At 43.5% G+C, this 25,914-nt stretch overlaps 2 pseudogenes across 1 annotated transcript in view; both read right to left on the bottom strand.

Moving 5' to 3' along the window:
- Positions 3,373–4,463, bottom strand: LOC100419908 (zinc finger protein 585A pseudogene; annotated as a pseudogene).
- The window catches only part of CXXC1P1 (CXXC finger protein 1 pseudogene 1), a 29,438-nt pseudogene continuing 14,434 nt past the window's right edge, over positions 10,911–25,914 (bottom strand). Inside the window, exons 2-4 of the transcript NR_033924.1 lie at positions 23,203–24,012; positions 22,885–22,981; positions 10,911–11,705 (exon numbers count right to left, since the gene is read on the bottom strand). The product of NR_033924.1 is annotated as a CXXC finger protein 1 pseudogene 1 (transcript). The remainder of the gene's footprint in view (positions 11,706–22,884; positions 22,982–23,202; positions 24,013–25,914) is intronic.

Genomic DNA, 25,914 nt, shown 5'->3' with positions numbered 1-25,914 from the left:
GTTATTATTAATATCTAATATGGACAACTGGTGTTTTCTTAGTCTCTATATTTCCTTGGATTCTGCTCTTGCAGATACTGGAAATGAATCAGCACGCAAAAATGACAACACAAGAAAACGAAAACAAACAAAACAGGTGAGGCATGGTAGCTCACGCCTGTAATTCCCATACTTTAGGAGGCCAAGGCAGGAGGATCACTTGAGCCCAGGAGTTCGAGGTCAGCCTGGGCAACATAGTGAGCCCCCATCTCTACAAAAAATAAAAATAAAAATAAATTAGCTGGGTGTGCTGGTATGCACCTCTGGTCACAGCTCCTCAGGAGGCTGAGGCAAGAAGATTGCTTGAGCCCTGGAGGTCAAGACTGCACTAAATCATGATCATGTCACTGGACTCCAGCCTGGGTGACAGAGCAAGACCCTGTCTCAAACAAACAAAACAAAAACTCTGGCATGAAGGATCAGGTGTACTATTCATGGAGCACTTACTAGCTCCACTTCCAAGTGCTTTATGTGTATTAATTCAGTTTTGTTCTTACATCGAATCTATGAGGTATCTGGATTTGGGTCATTTAGAAGGCCTTTCCTCACAACTGTTAGAAAGGAATTCACGTATATTATATTCTAGTACCTATATAATTTCACTATTTTTACATTTAGATCTGTCATCCATTTACAGCTTATTCTATCTAAAAACTTTCAAATCTGAGACTGAGCTGAAAAGTATAAGAAATGCTTTATTCAAACTGCTCCACAGCAGGGAGCCCCTGATCTAAATCAGTGACTTGCTGAGCAAAAGGTAACACTGTGCCAGACACTTCCTAAGTTGTAGAGAAAGGAGAGACTTAGAGTTAGCACATCTGGCGTTCTTTTTTGTTTTGTCTGTGGTCCACTGTGCTGACAGGGTGGTCCTGTTTTTATCTCTTGTACTGGGAAATTGTTTATGTTCAACAGCAGAACATCAAAGCCTAGCTGTCGGGAGAAGGCCAATTCCCAGCTGAAAGAAATCAGAGGCTGTTTTATCTTCTAAGCCCCACTTCTTCCCCGACCACACACTTTTCAGTTTTAGTTTAAGACAAAGGTTATGATCTACCTGGGGTCTATTACTGGGCTCTTACAATTCTCATGTATGGTGCGAGATATAGATCCAATTTAATCTTTTTTTCTAAACGGCTATCCAGTTATTTAAAAGTACATCTTTGCCCCGGTGTCTTTTTATAAATTAAATTAAAAAAAATAGAGAAGGGGTTTTGCTGTGTCAGCCAGGGTGGTCTCAAACTCCTGGCCTCAAGTGATCCGCCCTCCTCAGCGTCCCAAAGTGCTGGGATTACAGGTGTGAGCCACCGTGCCCAGCCTGCCCCAGTGTCTTGAACTCTTTTCTCATACACAGTACTATAATTTCTACATATACTTGGGTCTATGCCTGGAATTTTTATTTCTAGTCTATGGTCTGTCTGCCCATTCCTGTGTCAGTATCCCATTGCTTTAATTATAGGGGGGGGTTGTAGTAGAATCTAAAGTTGGGCAGTGCTAGCCTCTCTCATTTCTCCTCCTCTTCTTGCATATGTGTTTTTACCATATGGATTTTAGAAAGTCTGGCTCCAGAGCTGAAACACCTACTTATGCTCTACTCCCTCTCTCTATGGTATTTATTGACAACATTGTTTTGGGTGGAAAAAAAAAGTAGAGAAATTGTTAAAAGAAAAAAAAAAAACCATTGTTTCGTGATAGATGAAGTCATTGGCCCCAACCTTTCAGCCCTTCCTGCATCTACATCCTTGCCTTGCCCTCACGTGAGCAGAGTATACTTCCCTGTCTCTTCAACTTGGACTTGCACATGTGACTTACTTTGGCCAAGAGCATGTGAGAGTGAGTGTGTCAGCTCTAGGTCTAGGCTTTAAGATGTACACAACCCCATCACTGATTGCAAAGATCCTTAGTTATTAACTACACAGATTTCCTCATCACTGACCACACAGAATCCCTCCATAACCCATACCACAGAGCCTCATTAGTCACCCCATAGTTTTCCCATGTCCCCTTATGTTTCTGCCATAGCTGTGAGAAGAATATTCCCATGGGGAACCTCTGCCCCTAAAACTCAAGCCCCACACTGAGAGAGTTGAAGAATAGAGATGCCACAGCTACCACAACCTTAAATAGAGCCACCCAACCAAGCCTAGCTTGGATGAACAGAACCCCAGATGAACTGTAAATCTGTGAGAATGAACACTTATAGGTACATGCCTATGAGCTCTCGTGTTGATTACCTGGTGACTAACTGACACATGAGTAATGGTTGGGAAAATTCAATACCATTAAAAGAGGTGTTAAGCAAAAAACGAAGATGCAGGGATGTGGGAATAACAATGTTACTTTTCTAAAACAGAGAAGAAATGAACTCCTATACAAGTATAAGTATGTAGAGATAATTTATGTGTGTATATATAATTATAAGCACAGGGACAAAAATAAAACAGATCACACTAGATGGATATCTCTAGGGGGTTGCTGATGTGGGTGAAGATGCAATGAAATGGGACAGAGGGGGTGGAAAAGTAAACAAGGAAGATAAAAGATACATTACATAAGCCAGTATCTATGATTAGATCATGTTCATGCATTTACTAAAAACTAAACATACACTATTGTGTATGTATAGATGAATAAATTAGTGTCATGATTTTTATTTTAGAATATGTTGCTAGAGAATGTGAAATGCAGTTACTTTAGATTTTAAAAATAACAATACATTTATACTTCCTGTTACTCCTTTTACTTTGCAACATAATCTTTATGGATTTAAGAACATGTTTCCCTCAGAACTGTATTGTGAACCTATCATTCATTTTTTCCACACTTTAAAATGCATAACTTTCCATGGTGTATAGCATTATTATTTATATAATTTCCCACAAACTTTTCTACCAAAAATCTGTTTTGAAAAATTTTACAAGAAAGCTTTCCTAATGCATTAAATTGTCAACATGAAGATTGTGATAATCAATAAGGCTGGTGCAAATAAGAAATTTCCTGGCCGGGCATGGTGGCTCACACCTGTAATCCCAGTGCTTGGGAGGCCGAGGCAGAAGGATTGCTTGAGCCCAGGCATTCAAGACCAGCCTGGTCAACGTAGGGAGACCCCTTCTCTACCAAAAAATAAAATAAAAAATATTTTTAAAAGGAATTTCCCCCCTTCCTGCCATGCATTCTTAAAGGTTCCCTTGAGAATTATTTCCCACATGTACAGTAAGGAACAACTTCTCACTTAAGGCTTTTCCACATAAATCAATCAGATCTGATTCCTGAGAAAGCTTTATCGTTTTTCAAAAACAAACACGTTTTCTCGAAAGTATAAATAGTTCCACACATAATGAGAACAGACTTCTGAATGGAGACTTAGCACAGTCACTACACTTGTAGGGTTTATCTTAAATGCAAGTTTTGTAGCATTTCTCCAGCGTGGAACTGTTGGTGAAGGCCTTCCCACATTCAGAACATATATAGGGTTTCTCTCCTGTGTGAATTTGCTGACGCAGTTGGAGGCATGATTTCCTAGCAAAAGATTTCCTACAGACACTGCATTAATAAGGCTTTTCTGCAGAATGAATTTTCTGATCTATAATCAACTCTGGCCTCTGTCTGAAGGTCCTCTCTCAGTCAGTACAGAGTTTCTCTCCAGTATGAGTTTTCTGGTGTGTGAGAAGGCTTAATTTTTTGGTGAAAGCACTTCCACATTCGGTACATAAATATAGCTTGGCTTCAATGTGAACTTGCTGACTGCCATAAGAGTTGTGGCTTGGAAGTTAAGAATTTCCCACGAGATTGCATCCTAAGGTTCTCTCCAGCATGAATCATCTGGTGGGTAATGAAGTTTGACTTCCAGTTGAAGGCCTCACCACATTCATTACATACATAAAGTTTCTCTCCTTGTGAGTTTTTTGATGCATATTTAGTATTGATTTCTGATTGAATGTTGTACCACATTCACAATATTCTTTTTTTAAGATATGGGGTCTCACTATGTGGCCCAGGCTGGAGTGCAGTGACTGTTCACAGGCATGATCTTATCATGGCACACTGCAGTCTTGAACTCCTGACTCAAGCGATCCTCTTGCCTCAGCTTCCCAAGTAGCTAGGACTATAGGCGCATACCACTGCACTTGACTATCGTATTCACATTGCCTCTCTTCAGTATAAATCATTTGGTGTTTCCTGAAACGTGAAATCCCAGTGAAGGCTTTTCTACAGCCACTGCACTTGTCAGGTTTCTGTCCAGTGTGAATTCTTTGTTGGACCTTGAGTGTTGCCTTCTGGATGGAGCCTTTATGTATTCACCACACTCACAGAGTGCTTTGTAGCACTGTAGAGCACTCTATGAGTTTTGTGAATACACACGCTACATGGATTTCATTTCCATGGATTGCATTTTAAAATTTCTCTCCTGCATAAATATTTTCATGTTTATTACAGAATGAACTACACATGAAAATAGTCAATAGTTAATCTTGTCAAGGTTCTTTGAGGTACTGCTTCTATTATCACTCTGTGAGTCTACATTTTGTTTCCAATTCTTTACAAATGAATCAAATTAATGGGGTCTGTTTGTTAGAGGACAATGTTTGGAACCACTTGAAATACTTTTACAACATAGTAATAATCATAATCTCTCTTGTATTTAATGTTTTCTTTTTGATGAAAGAAATATGACTTCAAGGTTTGTTTGGATGTTCCTGATATTTCTCCATCTGGTCATCATAATTTTTTCTAACAGGAAGCATCTCACTGTGAAGTCAAGTTTTTTCAGAATTTACTGCTGTGTGACTTCAAGCCCAAATTCCCCTTCTGAAATGTAAAAGACAGAGTAATTATAACTGAAAGAATAGTTAGAGGATGGAGGAGAAAGCACATATTGTTCACCCAATTGGAACACAGGGAAATATGAGTCATATGACAATGATGATGATCATGATGATCATTATTATTATAAATATTTATGTGGCAATTACTATTTGCTGTGTATTTATCTGGGACTTATAATCTACCAGGTACTGTTATTTAATGCTCTCTAGGCATGGTGGCTCATGCCTGTAATCCCAGCATTTTGGTAAGCTGAGGCAGGAGGATCACTCTAGTCCAGGAGTTCGAGGTTGCACTCAGCAGCGTTAATCCACTGCACACCAGCCTGGGTAACAGAGAAAAACCCTGTCTCTAATTTTATAAAGACTTTGTAAAGAAAGACTTAATGCTTGCTTTGCTGGGTTTTGGACTGGCATGGAGCCTGTTACCCATTTCTCCGTTTTGGAATGGGAATTTACCCAATGCCTGTACCAGCATTGTATATTGGAAGTAAATAACTTGTTTCTTATTTTTATTTTATTATTATTATTATTTTTGAGATGGAGCCTTGCTCTGTCCCCCAGGCTGGAGTGCAGTGGCCCAATCTTGGCTCACTGCAACCTCTGCCTCCTGGGTTCAAGCGATTCTCCTGCCTCAGCCTCCCAAGTAGCTGGGATTACAGGCGTGCACCACCAGGCCCGGATAATTTTTGTATTTTTAGTAGAGACGGGGTTTCACCATGTTGGCCAGGCTGGTCTCGAACTCCTGACCTCAGGTGATCCTCCTGCCTCGGCCTCCCAAAGTGCTGGGATTACAGGCGTGAGCCACCATGCCTGGCCTTTTATTTTACAGGCTCACAACTGTAATTAACTTGCCTTAAGTCTCAGATGAGATTTTGAACTTTGAACTTTTGAGTTGATGGTAGAACGAGTTAAGATTCTTGGTAACTGTTGGGGAGGGATGATTATATTTTGCAACACGAGAAGAACATGGGATTTGTGGGGCCAGGGGCAGAATGCTATAGTTTGGATATTTGACCCATTCAAATCTCATGTTAAACTTTGATCCCCAGTGTTAAAGGTGGGGCCTAGTGGGAGGTGTTTGGGTCATGAGGATGGATCTCTCATGAGTGGCTTGGTACTGTCCTGGCAGCAATGAATGAGTTCTCACTCTGTTAGTTGCCACCAGAGCTGGTTGTTAAAAAGAGTCTGGCGCTTCCTCCCCTCTCTCTCACTTTCTCTCCCACTGTGTGATCTCTGCACAGACTTGCTTTCATTCACTTTCTGCCATGAGTGGAACGGTGATGGAGGCCCTCACCAGAAGCAGATGCTGGCACCATGCTTCCTGTACAGCCTGCAGAATACATGGGCAAAAATAAACCTCTTTTCTTTATAAATTAAAAAATAAAAATTTTAAATGCCTGGCATTAAACTAGAAAAATGAAGCTATCCATCAGCTGATGAATGGACAAACAAAACGTGGTATATTCATAAAATGGAATATTATTCAGCCACAAAAAAGAATGAAGTACTGTTACAAGCTACAACATGGATGAACCTTGAAAACATTATGTTAAGTGAAAGAATCCAGACACAAAAGGCCACATAGTGCATGATTCCATGTTTATGAAATGTCCAGAGGGCAAATCCAGAGACAGAAAATAAATTACTGGTTGTCAAGGGGTGGAAGCAGGGAAAAATTGAGACTTTTTTTTTTGTCAACAAATAATTTATTAAATTTTCAGATTTCCTGTAATTTTCCATTACTATCCATCATACATTTCTCTGCATGGTCACGCTAAAGATATAAATTCATCACATCCATTCAATAAATCAAGAAACTCAAAACTCACAAATATAGGGCTGGGCGCGGTGGCTCACGCCTGTAATCCCAGCACTTTGGGAGGCCGAGACGGGCGGATCACGAGGTCAGGAGATCGAGACCATCCTGGCTAACACGGTGAAACCCCATCTCTACTAAAAATACAAAAAATTTAGCTGGGCGTGGTGGCGGGCACCTGTAGTGCCAGCTACTCGGGAGGCTGACACAGGAGAATGGCGTGAACCCTGGAGGCAGAGCTTGCAGTGAGCCGAGATTGCACCACTGCACTCCAGCCTGGGCGATAGAGCGAGACTCTGTCAAAAAAAAAAAAAAAAATTCACAAGTAGAATCTTCAACTCTGTAGAATGCTACCAAGAGGTAAAATAAGATGAAGGTAGAAAGATTCACTTTGAAATGCTGCATGCAACGATATAGCAACACATTGGAAAATCTAGAGAAAATGGATAATTTTCTAGAAAAACATAAATGACCAAAACTAACCCAAGAAGAAATTTAAAATGTCAATAGACCAGTTACAAAGAAGACAGTGTAAAGTGATTTTTTAAATCCATAATTTAAAAAGTACTAGGGTTGCAAGAAGGATAATTCCAACGTTGTTTAAAGTATCCCAATTAAAAAAAAACTCACCAATCATTTCATATAGCCAGTGCAGCATTAATATGAAAACCTGATAAACACAAGGCAAAACAAAACCATAGGCCAGGCACAGTAGCTCACACCTGTAATCCCAGCACTTTGGGAGGCCAAGGCGGGTAGATCACCTGAGGTCAGGAGTTCGAGACCAGCCTGGACAACATGGCAAAACCCCGTCTCTACTAAAAATACAAAAATTAGCCCAGGCCAGGCATGGTGGCTCACGCCTGTAATCCCAGCACTTTGGGAGGCCGAGGCGGGCAGATCATGAGATCAGGAGATGGAGACCATCCTGGCTAACACAGCGAAACCCCGTCTCTACTAAAAATACAAAAAAACTAGCTGGGCATAGTGGTGGGCGCCTGTAGTCCCAGCTACTTGGGAGGCTGAGGCAGGAGAATGGCATGAACCCAAGGAGGCAGAGCTTGCAGTGAGCTGAGATCGCACCATTGCACTCCAGCCTGGGCGACAGAGTGAGACTCCATCTCAAAAAAAAAAAAAAATTAACCCAGCATGGTGGTGCATGCTTGTAATCCCAGCTCGAACCCAGGAGGTGGAGCTGCAGTGAGCCGAGATCATGCCACTGCACTGCAGCCTGGGCAACAGAGCGAGACTCTGTCTCAAAACAAAAGAAAAAAACCAAAACTATAGACCAATCTTACTTATACATATGAATGAATATTCTAAGTAAAAACCCAGCACTGTTATTAATAATTGCAACAACAAAGAGTAATACACTATGGCAAAGAGCATTGTATTTCAGGAATTCAAGGGTATTTCAATATCAGTTAAGTATATATATATTTTTTTTAATTTTTATTTTTTTAATATTTCTTTTTGTATTATACTTTAAGTTCTGGGATACATGTGCAGAACGTGCAGGTTTGTTACATAGGTATACACATGCCATGGTGGTTTGCTGCACCCATCAACACATCATCTACATTAGGTATTTCTCCTAATCCTATCCCTCCCCTAGCACCCCACCCCCTTGTAGGCCCCAGTGTGTGATGTTCCCCTCCCTGCGTCCATGTGTTCCCATTGTTCAGTTCTCACTTATGAGTGAGAACATGCGATGTTTGGTTTTCTGTTCCTGTGTTAGTTTGCTGAGAATGATGGTTTCCAGCTTTATCCATGTCCCTGCAAAGGACATGAACTCATCCTTTTTTATGGCTGCATAGTATTCCATGGTGTATATGTGCCACATTTTCTTTATCCAGTCTATCATTGATGGGCATCTGGGTTGGTTCCAAGTCTTTGCTGTTGTGAACAGTGCTGCAATAAACATACGTGTACATGTGAGACTAACTTCTAATAGGTTTGGGGTTTCCCTTTGAGATGATGGATATTTTCTGGACTTAGATAGTGGTGACAGTTGCACAACATAGTGAAGTGTATACTTGAAAATGGTGAATTTATGTGATAAATAAAAACATGCTATGAAGGGAAAAAAAGAATGGAGGGCTGATGTCTTGGAAGAAATTTGGGTCCCTGAAGGAACACAAGAAGCAAGTATTATTAAAAGACGTACATATGAAATTCTGGGTTGAAAATTCTTTTCTTTAAGAATGTTGAATATTGGCCCCCACTCTCTTCTGGCTTGTAGAGTTTCTGCCGAGAGACCAGCTGTTAGTCTAATGGGCTTCCCTTTGTGGGTAACCCGACCTTTCTCTCTGGCTGCCCTTAACATTTTTTCCTTCATTTCAACTTTGGTGAATCTGACAATTATGTGTCTTGAACCAACCCAAGTGTCCAACAATGATAAACTGGATTAAGAAAATGTGGCACATATACACCATGGAATACTATGCAGCCATAAAAAATGATGAGTTCATGTCCTTTGTAGGGACATGGATGAAGCTGGAAACCATCATTCTCAGCAAACTATCGCAAGGACAAAAAACCAAACACCGCATGTTCTCACTCATAGGTGGGAATTGAACAATGAGAACACATGGACACAGGAAGGGGAACATCACACATCGGGGACTGTTGTGGGGTGGGGAGAGGGGGGAGGGATAGCATTAGGAGATATACCTAATGCTAAATGACGAGTTAATGGGTGCAGCACACCAACATGGCATATGTATACGTATGTAACAAACCTGCACGTTGTGCACATGTATCCTAAAACTTAAAGTATAGTAATAATAATAATAAATAAAATAAGTACATAAAAGAGCAACACAATTCTACATTATTTAAGTATTTATCTTGGAGTCTGTTTGGTAAAGCAGCTTAGAATTACCATAATTCATGTATCATCTTTGCCCAGAATGGGAAACAGTGATGTTCTGATAGAATATGTGGCATAGTAAGTTTTCACAAAATATTTATAGAATGAGTAAATTATGCCATTTTCGTATTCCACCATGAATTTTAGATACTGAGCATAATCTGATTAAATGCAGTTTGTTTTCCCTTTTTTGGTGAGCCTGATATACTAGATGTTAGCTCTGTCCTGTGTAAAAGCCTCTCTTCTTTCACCTTCATATTTTTACTCCTACATGTTATGATTTTTAGTTATTCTAGAGAACGTAAGCATTGGATTCCTAAAAATTGATTTGGTATTTTTTCCACTTTCAATTTTCCATTTAACCTGTGTTGCACCTTTCATCATTGAGATTATTGCCACAATGTCCATTGCAAAGAATTTACTCTTGGGTTGAAAAACTCATCTGTAAGTCCCTTGTCCTACAGAGTCAGTAACATACATAAATGAAGAGATCAAGAGTCATCAGTCTTTAAAATGACTGTGTAGGTGATTTTGCATTCCACAAATTATTCATGAAATTGCCTTCAAAATCCAGTTTATTTGCAATTCCAATCTTAACTTCATGTTCTTCTCCAGAAAGCTTAATTTTCATGCCTATTTCCAGCAATACAAAATTTATATGGGCTCAAGAATAAATTAAATGTCCACTGTGCGAAAATTACTCTCAATCTTCCATATCTGAATTCAGGGAACATATTTTTTTGCACTCCAAAAGCAGATACACTCTGCCACTTGTTTTTAAACAATTGTTTTTACTAGATTTCCATTATATTGGAGGGGATTATTGTAGAAAGCCTAATATTTTGGCTTTAAAGCCATTGTTTTCTCTTTTCAGGTATAATTTATGTTCCTTTGAGTTTCTCTCACCAGACATTTTAAAAATAAAACAAAATATTCTCCTCTGACTACCTCCATATATTTAATACCTTCAATATTCTAAATAGGTTCTATGTCCTTAGCGCTGCAGTAATGAAAAGTAAAATATAATCCCTTATTACCAAGGATTTACTTAAAATAAAAGGACAAAAGCATCAAATACCATATGGTTTAAAACTCTCTAGTTTGAAGAATTTGCAGACTAGGGAATCAAACAAGTGAAAAAAATACACTAGAGTAGTTAAGAACTATTTCATGGAACAGAAGCAACTGAACGAAAAATGAAAATATGCATATTGTCCACATATGCAGTACACAAAATAATCAGAAGCCCAGATACAAAATGGAGCTTTATACAGTAGACATTGAGGAAAATGTGAAACAATGAAATAGGGCATGAGATATCCTATTAGTTTTCCATTGCTGCATAACAAATTCCCACGAACTTAGTAGCTTAAGACAACACACTTTTATTATTTCACAGTTTCTGTGTGTCAAAAGTTCACACATAGCTTAACTAAGTCCTCTGTTCAGGATCTCACAAGGTGTCAGCCAGGCTATATTTTCATCTGGAAACTTGACTGGGGAAGAATCCACTTCCAAGATCATTCACGTCATTGGCAGATTTTATTTTCTTGCAGCTACATGACTGAGGGCCCTGGCTTCTTACTGGTTGTCAGCTGGAAGCTACCTTCAAATCGAAGAGGCCACCCATGGTTTCTAGAGGCTGCCTGCAGTTTCTTGCCATGTGGGTTTCCTCAATATAGACGCTTACCTCATTAAGCCAGTAAGGAGAATCTCTTGTGCCAGTCTACTAAAGCAGAGTGTTAGATAATGTAATGAAATCATGGGAGTTATATCATATCATCTTTGACTGTAATATAACCTGATCAAGGGAGTGATATCCCATCACCTTCGCCATATTCTATTTGTTAGAAACAAGTCACAGAGATTCTATCTGCACCCAAGGAGAGGAAATTATACAAGATTGTGTGACTCACTATGTATCACCTTAGTGTGTGTCCACCAGAGTCTTCCCTCTGACCACCAATGCTTTATATCCCTCTCACATGCAAAATACATTCACCCCATTCCAAGGTCCCAAAAGGCTCACCTCATTACAGTATCAGCTCCAAGCCTAAAATTTTATCACCATATTAGGTCCAGGTGCAGATGAGGCTCCTGGGTGTCATCCATTACATACAGCTTCTGAGGCACAATTCCTCTCTTTCTGTATGTGGACCTGTGAAAACAGAAGAGACAGGTTATCTTCCCCCAAAACACTGAACATACAATGGTTGGGCAGACATATAATAAAAGTCGTAGACATTCCAATTCAAGATAGAGAAAAATTGAAGTTATAAACCTTCTTTTAGAGAAGAAGTGAGTTAAGGGAGTTTAGAACTTTCAAGATGAGTTACCTTCTGTGACGGTTAATTTTATATCAACTCAACTGGGCTAAGATGCCCAGATAGCTGGTAAAACATTATTGCTAAGTGTGACTGTGAGGGTGTTCCCAGAAAACATTAACATTTGAATCAGCAGACTATGTAAAGATTTGTCCTCACCAATGTGGGCAGGCATCATCTAATCCATTGAGGGACTGAATAGAACAAAAAAATGGAGGAAGGGCAAATTCACCCTCTCTGCTTGAGCTGTGGACATCCATCTTCTCCTGCTCTCAGACATTGAGGCTATTGGTTCTTGGGCCTTCAGACTCCAGGGCTTACACCAACACCATCCCCTCACCCCCTACCCCATTTTTCAAGCCTTTGGCCTAGGACTGATAGTTGTACCATCAACTCCCCTGGTTCTCAGGCCTTCAGACTCAAACTGAATTATATTATCAGCTTCAGCTTTTCTAGTTCTCCAGCTTGCAGAAAGAAGATGTTGGGGACTTCTTGGCTTCCATAATGGTGTGAGCAAATTCCCATAATAAATCCCCTCTTATATCCATATACCCTATTGGCTCTGTGTCTCTGGAGAACACTGACTAATACACTTTCAGGGCATTTCAAAGGCATCAAGCTCTCCCAGAAAACATGAGATTGACTTCCTAAATGGAAGTCAGTGGTGGCTCACACCTGTAATCCCAGCAGTTTGGGAGGCCAAGGCAGGTGGATCACTTGAGGCCAGGAGTTCGAGACCAGTCTGGCCAACATGGCAAAACCCCATCTCTACTAAAAATACAAAACTACAAAAATTAGCCAGGCATGGTGGCACGCACATATAATCCCAGCTACTTCGGAGGCTGAGGCTGGAGAATCGCTGGAACCTGGGAGGCAGAGGTTGCAGTGAGCCGAGATCATGCCACTACACTCCAGCCTGGGTGATAGAGTGAGACTCTGTCTCAAAAAAAAAAAAAAAAAAGTTTACTGAGATGATTAAAACAAAAAATTCCAAGGCTTAAGTACATGTAGGAAACATGGAGAGCACAAAAGAGGGAAAGATAAATTCTCCATGGGGAAGTAGGTTTGCCTGCCAGTGTTGGGGAAGCTTAACATGGAAAGTGAAACATGTGAGGCAAAGTGCAAAAGCATGGGAGTAAAAAAAAATAAAATAAAAAAAATAAAGTATCTGACATCATGGAAGTGCAAATAGCTCTATGCAAAAGGACAGGAGTCTATGTCTCATGTTAGGGAAGCAAAATAAGTTTAAAAATCTAAGGACAGACTGGGTGCAGTAGCTCAGGCCTGTAATCCCAGCACTTTGGGAGGCCAAGGCGGTTGGATAACCTGAGGTCAGGAGATACAGATCAGCCTGGCCAACATGGCGAAACCCCATCTCTACCAAAAATACAAAAATTAGCCAGGCGTGTTAGCAAACACCTGTAATCCCAATTACTCGGGAGGCTGAGGCACGAGAATCAGGAGGTTAGAAACCCGGGAGGTGGAGTTTGCAGTGAGCCCAGATCATGCCACTGCACTCCAGCCTGGGAGACAGAGTGAGGCAAAAGTAATAATAAATAAATAAATTAATTAATTAATTAATAAAAACTAAGGACAAATGCTGGACTACAATCATGGGAAAAGCATGGATTTTTTACTTGAACTAATGGATCACCACTAAGGGATTCTATATACAGGAAATAAATATAAACTAACTTTTGTATCTTGAAAGAATAAATTCCACGTTACCGTTGTATTTTGTACTTCAGGATAACATGTTAAAAATAGAGACTTTTTTTTTTTTTTGAGGAACCGACCACGAGCAGGGCCATCACACAGAGTTTTAAGTCCAGACTGAAAACACATATTGTATGATCCAATATTCCTTTAATTTTGAACTATTTAAGGCATAAGAAGTGTCAAAAGGCTCCAGAGGAATATAAAAATGTAGGATAGTTTGTACCTAGATGAAACAAGATAATTAGAGAGGTGTGCACATGAAGAACCCGATGGGCTGAGTTCTGCACTGGCCCTGTGCCTTTGACTTATTTGGAAGACAGCTCTAAATCAGTGGTTCTCAACATTGAGCGTGTATCAGAATCACCCAGAGGGCTTGTCAGCACACAGACTGCTGAGCCTCACACCCAAAAGTTAGATATTCCGTAGGTCTGGCATAGGGTCCAAGAATTTGCATCTCTAACAATATCTCAGGTGCTGTTGGTGGTGGTCCAGGGAACACACTGGAAGAACCACTGCTCCAGAAGATGGCCATGGCAAACTCTATTGCGCATTTATCATTAGGTTGACCACCTGTCCAGTTTACACCTGCTGTTCCAGCATGATTATTAATGATACCTCTTTCACTTTCCAAAGTTTCTGAATTTGGATGATAAAGTATAAGGTCACCTCACCTATAATCCATAATGAGATCAAAAAGGGGTTTTGGAGCCGAGCACAGTGGCTCATGCCTGTAATCCCAGCACTTTGGGAGGCCAAGGCCAGTGGATCACTTGAGGTCAGAAGTTCGAGACCAGCCTGGCCAACATGGTGAAACCCTGTCTCTACAAAAAAATACAAAAATTAGCTGGGTGTGGTGGTGCATGCCTGTAATCCCAGCTACTTGGGAGGCTGAGGCTGGAGAATCCCTTGAGCCCAGGAGGCAGAGTTTGCAGTGAGCTGAGATGGTGCCACTGCACTGCAGCCTGGGTGATAGAGCGAGACTCTGTCTCTAATAAATAAATAAATAATACAAAAATTAGCCAGGCATGGTGGCACGTGCCTGTAATCCCGGCTAGTCAGGAGGCTGAGGCTGGAGAATCGCTTGAGCCTGGGAGGCGGAGTTTGCAGTGAGCCGAGATCGAGCCACTGCACTCCAGCCTGGACAACAGAGCAGGACTCTGTCTCAAAAATAAGGGGGGCGGGAGATGGTTTACATTCAATTATCAGGAAATCTTTACCCTGGAAAATGTTTTCTTCACCCTTGTAGTCATTTTTCTCCCTGAGGCCAAGGTAAATCCTACAAATAACTGCATTTTCTTTCCAGCTATGTCTGATAGGAAGCTCAGAAGGAAACTGGCAGTTTAATTTTACTCTGCAGAACCCTAGGGCCCAAATGCCTACAGCCCAAATCAATTCTGGTCCTGACTTCATCCATTCTTTCTATATTTTCTCTGATCTAATTTTTATGGAGCTATACTTGTACATTTTACTACAGGGATTCTTAAAAGCTCACAAAAGCTGCTGAACTGCAACGGGTGCAACAAATACATGAATTAACGATAACTCATGAGAAACGTGGTTATTTCCTGACTTTCTTGGGTAGGGACATAGGTCTGTGAAGTCAAGGTTGTGTTGCTCAGATTAAGCAGGCTGGAAATCTCCACACTTCCGCTGGACAAGAGGCTGCACCCCATGGAAAGCCAGAGAACTCCATGCCTCTGTGATCACAAGCTGCATATGTGTGACTGATTTGATCATGTGGCATTTGGAAAAAGGCAGATTTCTCATTGGGACTAAGTGTGCAATTGTCCCCTCCCAATTCATTTATTATTATTATTATTATTATTATTATTATTATTATTATTATTATTATGTGAGACACAGTTTCGCTCTGTCGCCCAGGCTGGAGTGCAGTGGCGCAGCTTACTGCAACCTCCACCTCCCGGGTTCCAGCAATTCTCATGCCTCAGCCTCTGGAGTAGCTGGGATTACAGGTGTGCGCCACCATGCCCGGCTAATTTTTGTATTTTTATTTATTTTTGAGACAGAGTCTCGTTCTGTCACACAGGCTGGCGTGCAGTGGCACGATCTCAGCTCACTGCAACCTCCGCCTCCCTGGTGCCAGTGATTCTAGTGTCTCAGCCTCCGAAGTAGCTGGGATTATAGGCGCGTGCCACCATGCCTGGCTAATTTTTGTATTTTTATTTATTTATTGAGACAAGAGTCTTGCTCTGTCGCCCAGGCTGGAGTGCAGTGGCGCGATCTGGGCTCACTGCAACCTCTGCCTCCCGGGGTCCAGAGATTCTCCAGCCTCAGCCTCTCAAGTAGCTGGGATTATAGGTGTGTGCCGCCAAGCCCAGCTAATTTTTGCATTTTTAGTAGAGACATGGTTTCACCATGTTGACCAGGCTGGTCTGCAACTCCTGACCTCAACTGATCCACCCACCTCTGCCTCTCAAAGTGCTGAGGTTACAGGCATGAGCACAGCGCCCAGCCCATTTATTATTAACACCTGTCCTTACACCCTGACCCAAGAGTACAATTTCTAAAACTATATCTGTAGAAAATAATCATGTATGTGCACAAAGATTTAAATGTAGGAATTTTACCACGGCGATGTTCATAACAGTTAAAACCAAAACCAACTTTCATAAATATTTATTAACAGCATATTGGTTATATAAATTATGATATATTCAAAGATACGCTATTTGCAGCTGTTAAAATTGTTTAGAAAAATATATGCTGCCATGGAAAAATATTTAAGTTAAAATACAACGTAAAAAAACAAGGTAACCAAACAACATGATTCCAGTTTTCATTTAAACTAAAAGTGCACATATGAATATACTGATCACTTGCAAACATAAGCACCAAAGCACATGCCCAGAAAAAAGTATATGGAAGCAAATAAATCAAATTGTTGATAGAATTTATATTTAGGAGATGGCAGAGTTAGAGGTCATTTTTACTTTCTTCTTTGTATTTATTCATAATGCATAACTTAATATTAGGAATATAATTATTTATATAATAAACAAAACTAAAACAACAGAGTTTCAGAATATATACGGGCTTATTGACTGCATGATCCTGAGCCCCTGAGAGGATGAACCCTTCCAGAGCCGACAGCATCCACAGGCAAGTCTGAAAGGAGGGAGCTGTCAGCCAGAGCCTGGCTCACTCATCGTCCTCCTCAGTTTACAGAATCTCAACGGGAACTCTGAGTGGGAAAGTTGATCTCAGCTGTGGTGGGTGAAGGTAGAAGACACAGTCAGGAGACCTGGCTCCAGTCTAGTGCTGTCACTGCCAACCTGAGAGGCCTGGGCGAGTCACTTGCCTTCTGGGGCCATTTTATTTATCTTTGAAGGGAGGAGAGAGAGCCGGAAGGACCCCGGAGACTGTGGTGGCCCTACTACCCTGCCAGTCTCTAAGTTCCAAAGAAAAAAGGGTTTTTCTATACCTAAATTAAGATAGAGGAGAAATCGGCACATCCCCAGAGGAGGGGGGAAAGGGAGTGCTGGTGAGAATCAGCTGACATCTGTAAAGAATCAATGGAGAGGGAAGGATCCGTGCTGGGGTGGGGGATAGCATCTCCCTGGCTATGGCTGGTGGCTGCTCCCACTCGGATCTCCCCCTAGACACCCTGCAGGGAGCTGCCTCCCCCTCTCCCCTAGGCCATGGGGATGAACCCTCCACATCCCCCCATCTCTTCCATCTCAACTCCACAGAAGATTCTGATGTACAGTAAAAGGTGATGACTAAATCACTGATCCTCCCCTGCAAAGCTGCTAAAAATAATTAATCACCACAGGAACCCTTGCAATGACCAAATTTGATTACAGCCTTTTTAAAAATCTCTCTCTGTTTTGCAGATAAAGGTTACAGTCTTATAGTCCAAAGATGAGGAGAAATTCTTAAACACTTCCATGCAGAAACAAGTTTTATACAAGGGAGAGGAATAAGACCAGCAGCAGATATCTCATTGACAAAAATTGAATTCAGATGTCATTTAACATCTACAGACCATGTATTAGTTATCTATTGCTGTATTATAAATTACCACAAACTTGATGGGCTTAAAAACACACACATCTCATGGTTTCTGTAGGTTAGGAATCTTGGTATGGCTTAGCTGGGTCCTCTGTTTCAGAGTCTCTCATAGGGCTACAATCAAGGTGTCATCCAGGGGTTGTGGCTTCATCTGAAGGCTGAACTGGGGAAAGACTTACTTCCAAACTCACTTATGTGGTTGTTCCAGGATTCTATCCCTTTGGGGATGTTGGGATGTACTGAAAGTCTCAGTTTCTGATAGTTGGAGGCTATCCTTGCTACATGGGCCTTCCCAACATGTTGCCAAAACCAACAAGGGAAAGAGCCTGTCACCAAGACAGAAGCTATGATCTCTTGTCATCTAACCACAAAGGTGGCATCCTCTCAATGTTAAGGTATTGTATTGGTTAGAAGCAAGTTACTCAAATGGAGGGAATTACACAGGGTGATGAATTCCAGGAGGCAGGGATCACTGAGGGTTATCTTAGAAGCTACTTCCCATAGACCAATCTTGTCCAATCTGCGGCCCATGGGCCACATGTAGCCCAGGACATCTTTGAATGCAGCCCAACACAAATTGGTAAACTTTCTTAAAATATTTTGAGATTTGTTTTGCTATTTTTTTTTTAGCTCATCAGCTATTGTTAGTATTATTATATTGTATGTGTGGTCCAAGACAATTCTTCTTCTTCCAGTGTGACCCGTGGAAGCCAAAAGACTGGACACGCCTACCATAGGCCACGGAGAGATAAGAATTCCAATCCTGTACCCCATCCCAAGAAACCATTCCTTGGTCAGGGCAAAAGAATGACAGTTTCAGACATGAAATAATTTGAAGAGTGTTTCACTGATTTATTCTGCTTAAAGAAAACACTTAGGGATGTATTCTAAATAAATGAATATGAAATCATAAGAGAGATCGCAAAATAAGAGAGCAAAACAATGGTTCACAATTACTGTTGAGGTAAAATACACACCCCTGAGCACACACTCATACAGTTAAAAGTTAAATTATAATACATGAAGTCACTGGGGATTTTGAATAAAAATGTTAAGTGAGATTTCTTGAAGCAGGATTAACTCAACCTGTAAGAAAAATATAGTCTTTAAATACACAGCTTAAATTTTTCTAGAAAAATAAGAAAGTAATACTATTCATCTTTTTCTATAAAATAAGGTCCGGTTATGTTCGGATAAAATAGTAAAGGAAATAAATCATGCCTGTTGGAAATGGGAAAAGTATATAATGGGACAATTAATAAAAGTAAAACTTTCCAAACTAATGAGGAAAACAGTAGGGACAAAAATGAACAGAAACTGGCCGGGCACAGTGACTCACACCTGTAATCCCAGCACTTTGGAAGGCTGAGGCGGGCAGATCACTAGAGGTCAGGAGTTTGAGACCAGCCTGGCCAATTTGGCGAAACCACATCTCTACTAAAAATACAAAAACTAGCCAGGTGTGGTGGCACATGCCTGTAATCCCAGCTACTTAGGAGGCTGAGGCAGGAGAATTGCTTGAACCTGGGAGGCAGAGGTTGCAGTGAGCCAAGATCAGGTCACTGCACTCCAGCCTGTGTGACAGAGCGGGACTCCATTTCAAAAGAAAAAAAAAAAAGAAAATACGTGACATGGTGTGAAATGGTCTAAGATATATACTTTAGGATTCATCTCTCCCCAAAAAACACAAAACCACAGAAGAAATTTGTTTTAAAAGGTAGATTTATTCTACCTTTTGATAATATAACAGCTGAAGTAGACAGAAAGACAAAAAATAAATAATCCAACTAGATTGAAAAGTCCCCACCAAGTCCTAATATCTAACAGAGAATATAGTTTCTTCTCTTATATCCATGAAAGTTTTACAAAATTATGTCACATACCTAGGCCACAGAGAAAATATTGAATAACATTTACAAATTCATATTCTGCAGGCTACATTCTCTGACCATAATAAAAAAACATAATTACATAAAAATAAAAAAAAGACCACTAAACTATCTTAACCAGTAAGAACCTAAGAAGCTTTCTTCAATACCTAGGATCAAAATGAGAAGTCAATTTTGTAGTTTCACCTTCCATACCAGAGTGTTGGAAACGTAGCTACATGTAGAGGAAAGTGTATAATCTCAAATACTTTACTATCAAAAAAAAAAACAAAAAACTGGAAGCCCCAAAATGGTCGAGTTGGGAACATGACTTAGGAAATTAGAAAAAGAACAGCAAAATTAAACAAAAAAATGTAAAATAAAAATACAGAACAAAAAGTCAAGAAGTGATAAATAATACAAATAGAAGTTTATATAAATAAAATAAATATAAAATTAGGACCTATAAATAAATAAAAAGCTGATCTGGGAAATCTGATCAAATTGAAAAAAAAGAAAGAAACACAATATTAGTAATGAGAAAGGAGATATTGTACCAGACAAGTAGTAATGTAAAGTAGTTGTACTGGAATATGAGGTATAAAGTCTAGAGCAACACACTTAAACATTTAGAACTATATGAGTTCCTGGGAGGAGAGTAATTATAAAAGCAGATTAAAAAAAAATCATAAGGGCTGGGTGTGGTGGCTCACGCCTGTCATCCCAGCACTTTGGGAGGCCGAGGCAGGCGGATCACCTGAGGTCAGGAGTTCGAGACCAGCCTGGCCAACATGGTAAAACCCCATCTCTACTAAAAATACAAAAAAATGCCAGGTGCGCATCTGTAATCCCAGCTACTCAGGAGGCTGAGGCAGGAGAATCACTTGAACCCTGGAGGCAGAGGTTGCAGTGAGCCAAGATCGGGCCACCACACTCCAGCCTGGGCAACAGGGCGAGACTCCGTCTTAAAAACAACAACAACAAAAAAAAATCATAAGGAATCAGTGAGCATAGGAAAAAAAATAGGAAAGGTCGTTCAGGTCTGTCATTGGAGACATACCAGCACCCACAAGCAACACTACTGGACGCACCTCCAATGGCACAGAAGGCCTGGCTAGGGGCTGGCAAAGGCAGATGTGGCAGAAGTCACCTTCTGGCAAACCTACAGGTGTGAAATAGGTGTGACAGGACAGGCTGGAAAGGACAGGGCACACTCAGAGCAGGGTGGTGGGGGGAGGGGGCCCAGAAGTGAAAGGCAGGACAGACTAGGGTTGGACTGAGATGGGCCAAGGCTGACAGGGCAAGGACCTCGTGGGATGGTCAGGAATGGGACAAGATGGGTGCGTGTGGGGGCATGATGGTCATGACAGGCGAGGCCTGTCACCCACCGACTATTGGAGGTTTGGAATTGGGTTTGCAGCCAGAGAGACAGGTTTAGGGAACATCATGAGATATCAAAATCCTTGTTCTTCCAAAGTCGGTGAAGAAAACTCTAGACAGTGGATGTAACGGCAGGGCAGATCCCTTGGCCTCACCCAGGTTCAGGGAAGAAAGGGAAAGGGATGGAGGAATGGATGGGAATGGGGAATTTTAAACAATCCCCCTGACCACCACCAAGGAGTGGTAGACAGAGAGACAAGAGACCAAGTGGTGGACAGAGAAGCACAGAGAGAAACTCCAAGATGCCCTAAGAAAAAGGTGCATGGAGGCCGGGCGCGGTGGCTCACGCCTGTAATCCCAGCACTTTGCGAGGCCGAGGCGGGCGGATCACGAGGTCAGGAGATCGAGACCATCCTGGCTAACACGGTGAAACTCCGTCACTACTAAAAATACAAAAAATTAGCCAGGCGTGGTGGTGAGCGCCTATAGTCCCAGCTATTCGGGAGGCTGAGGCAGGAGAATGGCGTGAACCCAGGAGGCGGAGCTTGCAGTGAGCCGAGATCGCACCACTGCACTCCAGCCTGGGCGACAGAGCAAGACTCCGTCTCAAAAAAAAAAAAAAAAAAAAAAGAAAGAAAAAGATGGATGGAGCAACAGATGTGGGAGGAGAGATTCATGAGGTGTCACCTTTACACAGAGTGTGGAATACGGGACCTAGGTCCAGCAAGGCTTAAATGTCCACCCTGGAGCACAGGTCACTGGTGAACGGGTCGTGCTGGATCGTCCCGTGCAGCATCAGAGCCAGCAGCCCCACCCGGTTCATCATAGACGTGCGCACCTTCTGCTCCTGCTCAAACAGCTGTTCCAGCTTGTGCAACTGTGGGACCTGAATATGCGAGAGGGAGTCCAGGATCCTACCCCATCCCTCAGCCCCCTCGGCATGGCACCTAACAGCCTGCATGCACTCCAGGTCCACGGCACGCCTCAGCTTCTCCCAGCTGTAGTGGTGGTTGCACAGGCATTTGGGGAGGCAACAAAAATTACCCGTGAACTCAAAGACATTGTGCACGAGCGGACAACCACCCACCTCATCCTTTGACATCTATGGTGAAGAACAAAGGAGGATGAGTTATGAAGGAGCGAAGCCCTGGGGAATGATCAGGCACAGGGGAACAATAGGGAGATGGAGGACAGAGAGGAGAGGGATGGGGAGTGATCAGGCAGGAGGAAGAGAGGAATTCAGAGAAGAGAGGACAAATAGCGGGTGATCAGGCATAGAGGATAGAGGAATGAGGTAGACTAAGCAGGGATGGAAGAATGCAGGTGATCAGGCAGAAAGAACAGAAGCACAGAAAGAGATCCAACAGAAGGAGGGATGGCTGGAGGGCAGGTGGGCCAGGGAGAGCTGGAGAGCTGGAAGGCTGGAAAGCAGTCCGGCAGAGGAGGGGAGGGTTGAGGGTGGTCCAAGGAGGAGAAGTAGATGAGTGGGGCTTGTTGAGGCAGAGGGGAGGTGAGGGCTGAGGTGAAGGAGAGGAGGGTGGAGGGAGAGAATGGGGAGCAGTCAAACAGGGAGGAAGAAAGGATGTAGATGACAGGCAGAAAATAGAATCGGGGACAGTCAGGCAGAGAGAATGATCAGAATGGAGGAAAGTCAGAAAGTGAGGAAGAGAAGTTGAGGGCGCCACACAAGGAGGAGGGAAGAGGGAGTTGGCCAGGCAGGGGGTGGGGCAGGAAGGGAGGATGGTTGAGCAAGAAGAGGAGCAGAATTAGGGGGTGCTTATGCAGTGAGGAGGGGCAGGACCACCCAGAAGGTGGTCGGGCAAGGAGGTCATGAACACAGACAGCCAGGTAGAGAGAAAAGGAAGAAGAGAGGGTGAGAGGCAGCAATGAGCATGGAATGTGGGGTGGTCGGGAAGGGAAGGAGGACACACAGGAGTTGCTGAGGAGATGAGGAGGGCAGTCAGGCAGGGAGGATTGGAGGAATGGAGGGTGATGAGGTAAGGAAGGGTCTCACCTTGGGGTCCCAAGAGTGCTCAGGACACAGCACCTGGAGGCGCTTACAGTACCTCTTACTTTTCAGATTGTAGACATCACAGAAGAGCCATGTGGCCCTGGATGGGGGGTGGAAAAGTGAGGTGCTAAGAGTCAGGAGGAGTGAGGTCCCACCCCAGAACCCTACCTGTACCTTGTCCCAGACCCCACCCATACCATGCCTCTAATTACACCCGCCTCTGCCTCTGAGCCCACCCACATCCTGCCCCTGACCTTGCTCAACCTTGCTTCTGACCCTGTCCACGTAATGCCTTCGACCCTTACTAGCCCCCACACTCACCTTTCAATACAAGTAGGGTACAGGGACCCAACGGGCAATTGGCACTCATACTGGAGAAGAAAGAGCACAAATGGGAGGAACTGTGGACATATGCTGCATGTCCTCCTACAATAAAGCTCCAAACACCAGGTCTGTTGTCCCCTGCAGACCCTATGCTCCCGTCTGCACAGCCAGTGTCCCCTTCATCACTGGTTAATGCCCTGACCTTGGCTTTCATACTGGGCATGGGGGAAGAGCACACACAGGGGAAGCCATGGATGTGTGTTGCATTCCTCCTATGACAAATATCCAGGCGCCAAATCTGCCCCCACCACATGGACCCCACCCATGTGCCACCCCACCCAACCAAAAACACCCTCGTCCCATCTGACTCCCAGCCAATGTTCCAACCTTGGCAAAGCAGTGCTCCATGTGGTGAAAGGTGACACGCTTAGAGATGGGCCGCCTGCAGGAGGCGCAAAAGATCTGCAGGTCTTTGCTGCCCTTTTCACCTTTGTTGCTCTGCACAGGACAATGGAGGGACCAGGGAAGCAGTACAGGATGGGGAGGACAGGACCAGAGGCCCGGTACCTTTAAGCTCTACCTCGCCAATGCCCTCTCGCCTAGTAATCCGTGCACACAGCCTGCTGTTTGCCATGCAGAATGATGGCCTCAAGTTCATGGAAATGGTGCTCCATGTCCTTCAGGCAAGTATAGGTGTTCTGTTGCTTATGGTGGATGTGCTCGAGCATTTTCTTGCCATGCTCATTGGCAATGCAGGGGCTCCTTTGCCACTGCTGGATGTGCTGGGGAAGGATGTTATTGATGTGGCTGAAAGAAGAGAGAGCAAGAAATGAAATGGGTAGATGGGGACATCAGAGGAATGAGAAAGATGAGCTACCAAATGGTGACTCTATAGGGTACTGAGTGGTGGATGAGTGCACGTTGGTGAATGGGTGGTTGAACAGTGGACGGGTGGGTGGATGGGTGGAGGGGCAGGTGGGTGAGTGGCTATAAGGGTGGATGAGCAGGTGGGTGAGTGGCTATGAGGGTGAATGAGCAGGTGGATGAGTGGCTATAAGGGTGGATGAGCATCCTGGTGGATGTAATGTGGATGGGCAGTTCAGTGAGTGGGTGACTATGACGGTGGATGGGTGGGTGGCTGAGTGGAATTACAGATGGCATAGATCACACCTTACTTTGCCTTTGTCCCTTAACCTCGAGGTGCACTCACGCACCTGCCAGCCTCATGCCACAGTCATCTGAACAGTACTTGGAGCCTGGCCAGGTGGGATACACACAGCCGGGTCCCAGGCACTGCCGTGGTGAGGCTGGGTCCTTGACATGCTCCGGATGCTTCCACTTGCCTGTGTGCTTCCTTTTCTGCGTCTGCTGCTTCTCCTTCTTCAGGACAAGAGTGGTCAGGGCAGGATCAGGAGGGTTGATATCAACCCCCAATCCTGCACCCCTGCCCTGCATTCCACCCCCGACCTGCCTTCATGCTCCCCATTCAATTCGTCACCTTCTGCTCTACCTTTTTCTTCAAACTCTTCATGTGCTTCACATTCATTGCCTGCTTCTGCCTGTGGGATCCATGAGCTAGAGCTTCTTGATGTCACTCACCCAAGGCTGCAGATCAGGAAATACTGACACACTCCACACAACTGTTTTCTCAAAGTGGTCTTTGGATACTCCCTGCCTCCTGTCACCTCACTGCTGAACCTCACTGCCCTCATTGTCCCCAACCTTCTACCCCAGGGCCCTCCCTCACACTTGCCAGGCTCTGATTGCCAAAAATCCCCTCTGCAAGTGTCCTGGTACAGGTCACAGTGCCAAGGCAGGTCCTCTTCAGACAACAGCTGAGGTGTGGCTGTTGCCCAGGTGCCTCCCTTACTGCCAGTGGCACCACTGCCATCTGGTACTTCTGGGCTAGCCCGGACTTCTGCGTTTGAGGCAGCTGTCAAGTGGCCAGTGTCCAGTGGGACCACAGCAAGGTCTCTGGGGGTGTTACAGGCAAGGTCTGAGGGGCAGACCCTCAGCATCAGCCCGACTCCCTGTCTACCCTGTGTCCTGGACTCACCAGGGGCCAGAGATTACTAGTAGGATTCCCATGCTCTTAGAAAGAGGGCTGTTGGTCAGCCCTAAGTGGGTAGGGAAAAACCACCCTTCCCCAACACTCCTGGCCTCACCCTCAGGCCAATCTAGCCTGGGGCAACTGCACCTGCTGGACACACTAGGCCCTGCCTGCCTGGGAATGACTGATACCATCTGGTCCTGCCTGCCCACCTTATCCCTTATCCAGACACACTTGGTTGGTCCACCTGGACACATCTGCCCCCAACTTGCCTACCTCCATGCATAACGGCCTGCCTATCCGCCCAGAAAATCTGGGTGCCACCCCTTCAGATTTGCTCTGCTCAGCCTGATCCACCCCTCCCTCCAAGACACACAGGCTACCCTGCTTACCCAACACGATGGACCCAGACAAGTCCACCTCTGCCTGCCCAAACACACTTGGCCCCGCCCCTCAGACAAATTCAGTCTGCCTCACTGCCTGGCCTCCTCCGCTAGTCTCCCCAGGTTCCGCCTACCCACTCCTGCGCGCCTGGGGCAAGAGTGAATGGGTGATCGAATGGTGGATGGATGGGCGGATGGATTGAGGGATGATCAAACGGTGGATGGATGGGCGGACGGGTTTAGGGACGCTCAGACTCACCTTACCCTTCGTGCCCT

Source organism: Homo sapiens, chromosome X (assembly GCF_000001405.40).
Source record: "Homo sapiens chromosome X, GRCh38.p14 Primary Assembly".
NCBI lineage: Eukaryota > Metazoa > Chordata > Mammalia > Primates > Hominidae > Homo > Homo sapiens.
Note: the sequence above shows the minus strand (reverse complement) of the source record. Positions and strands in the feature narration are given on the sequence as shown.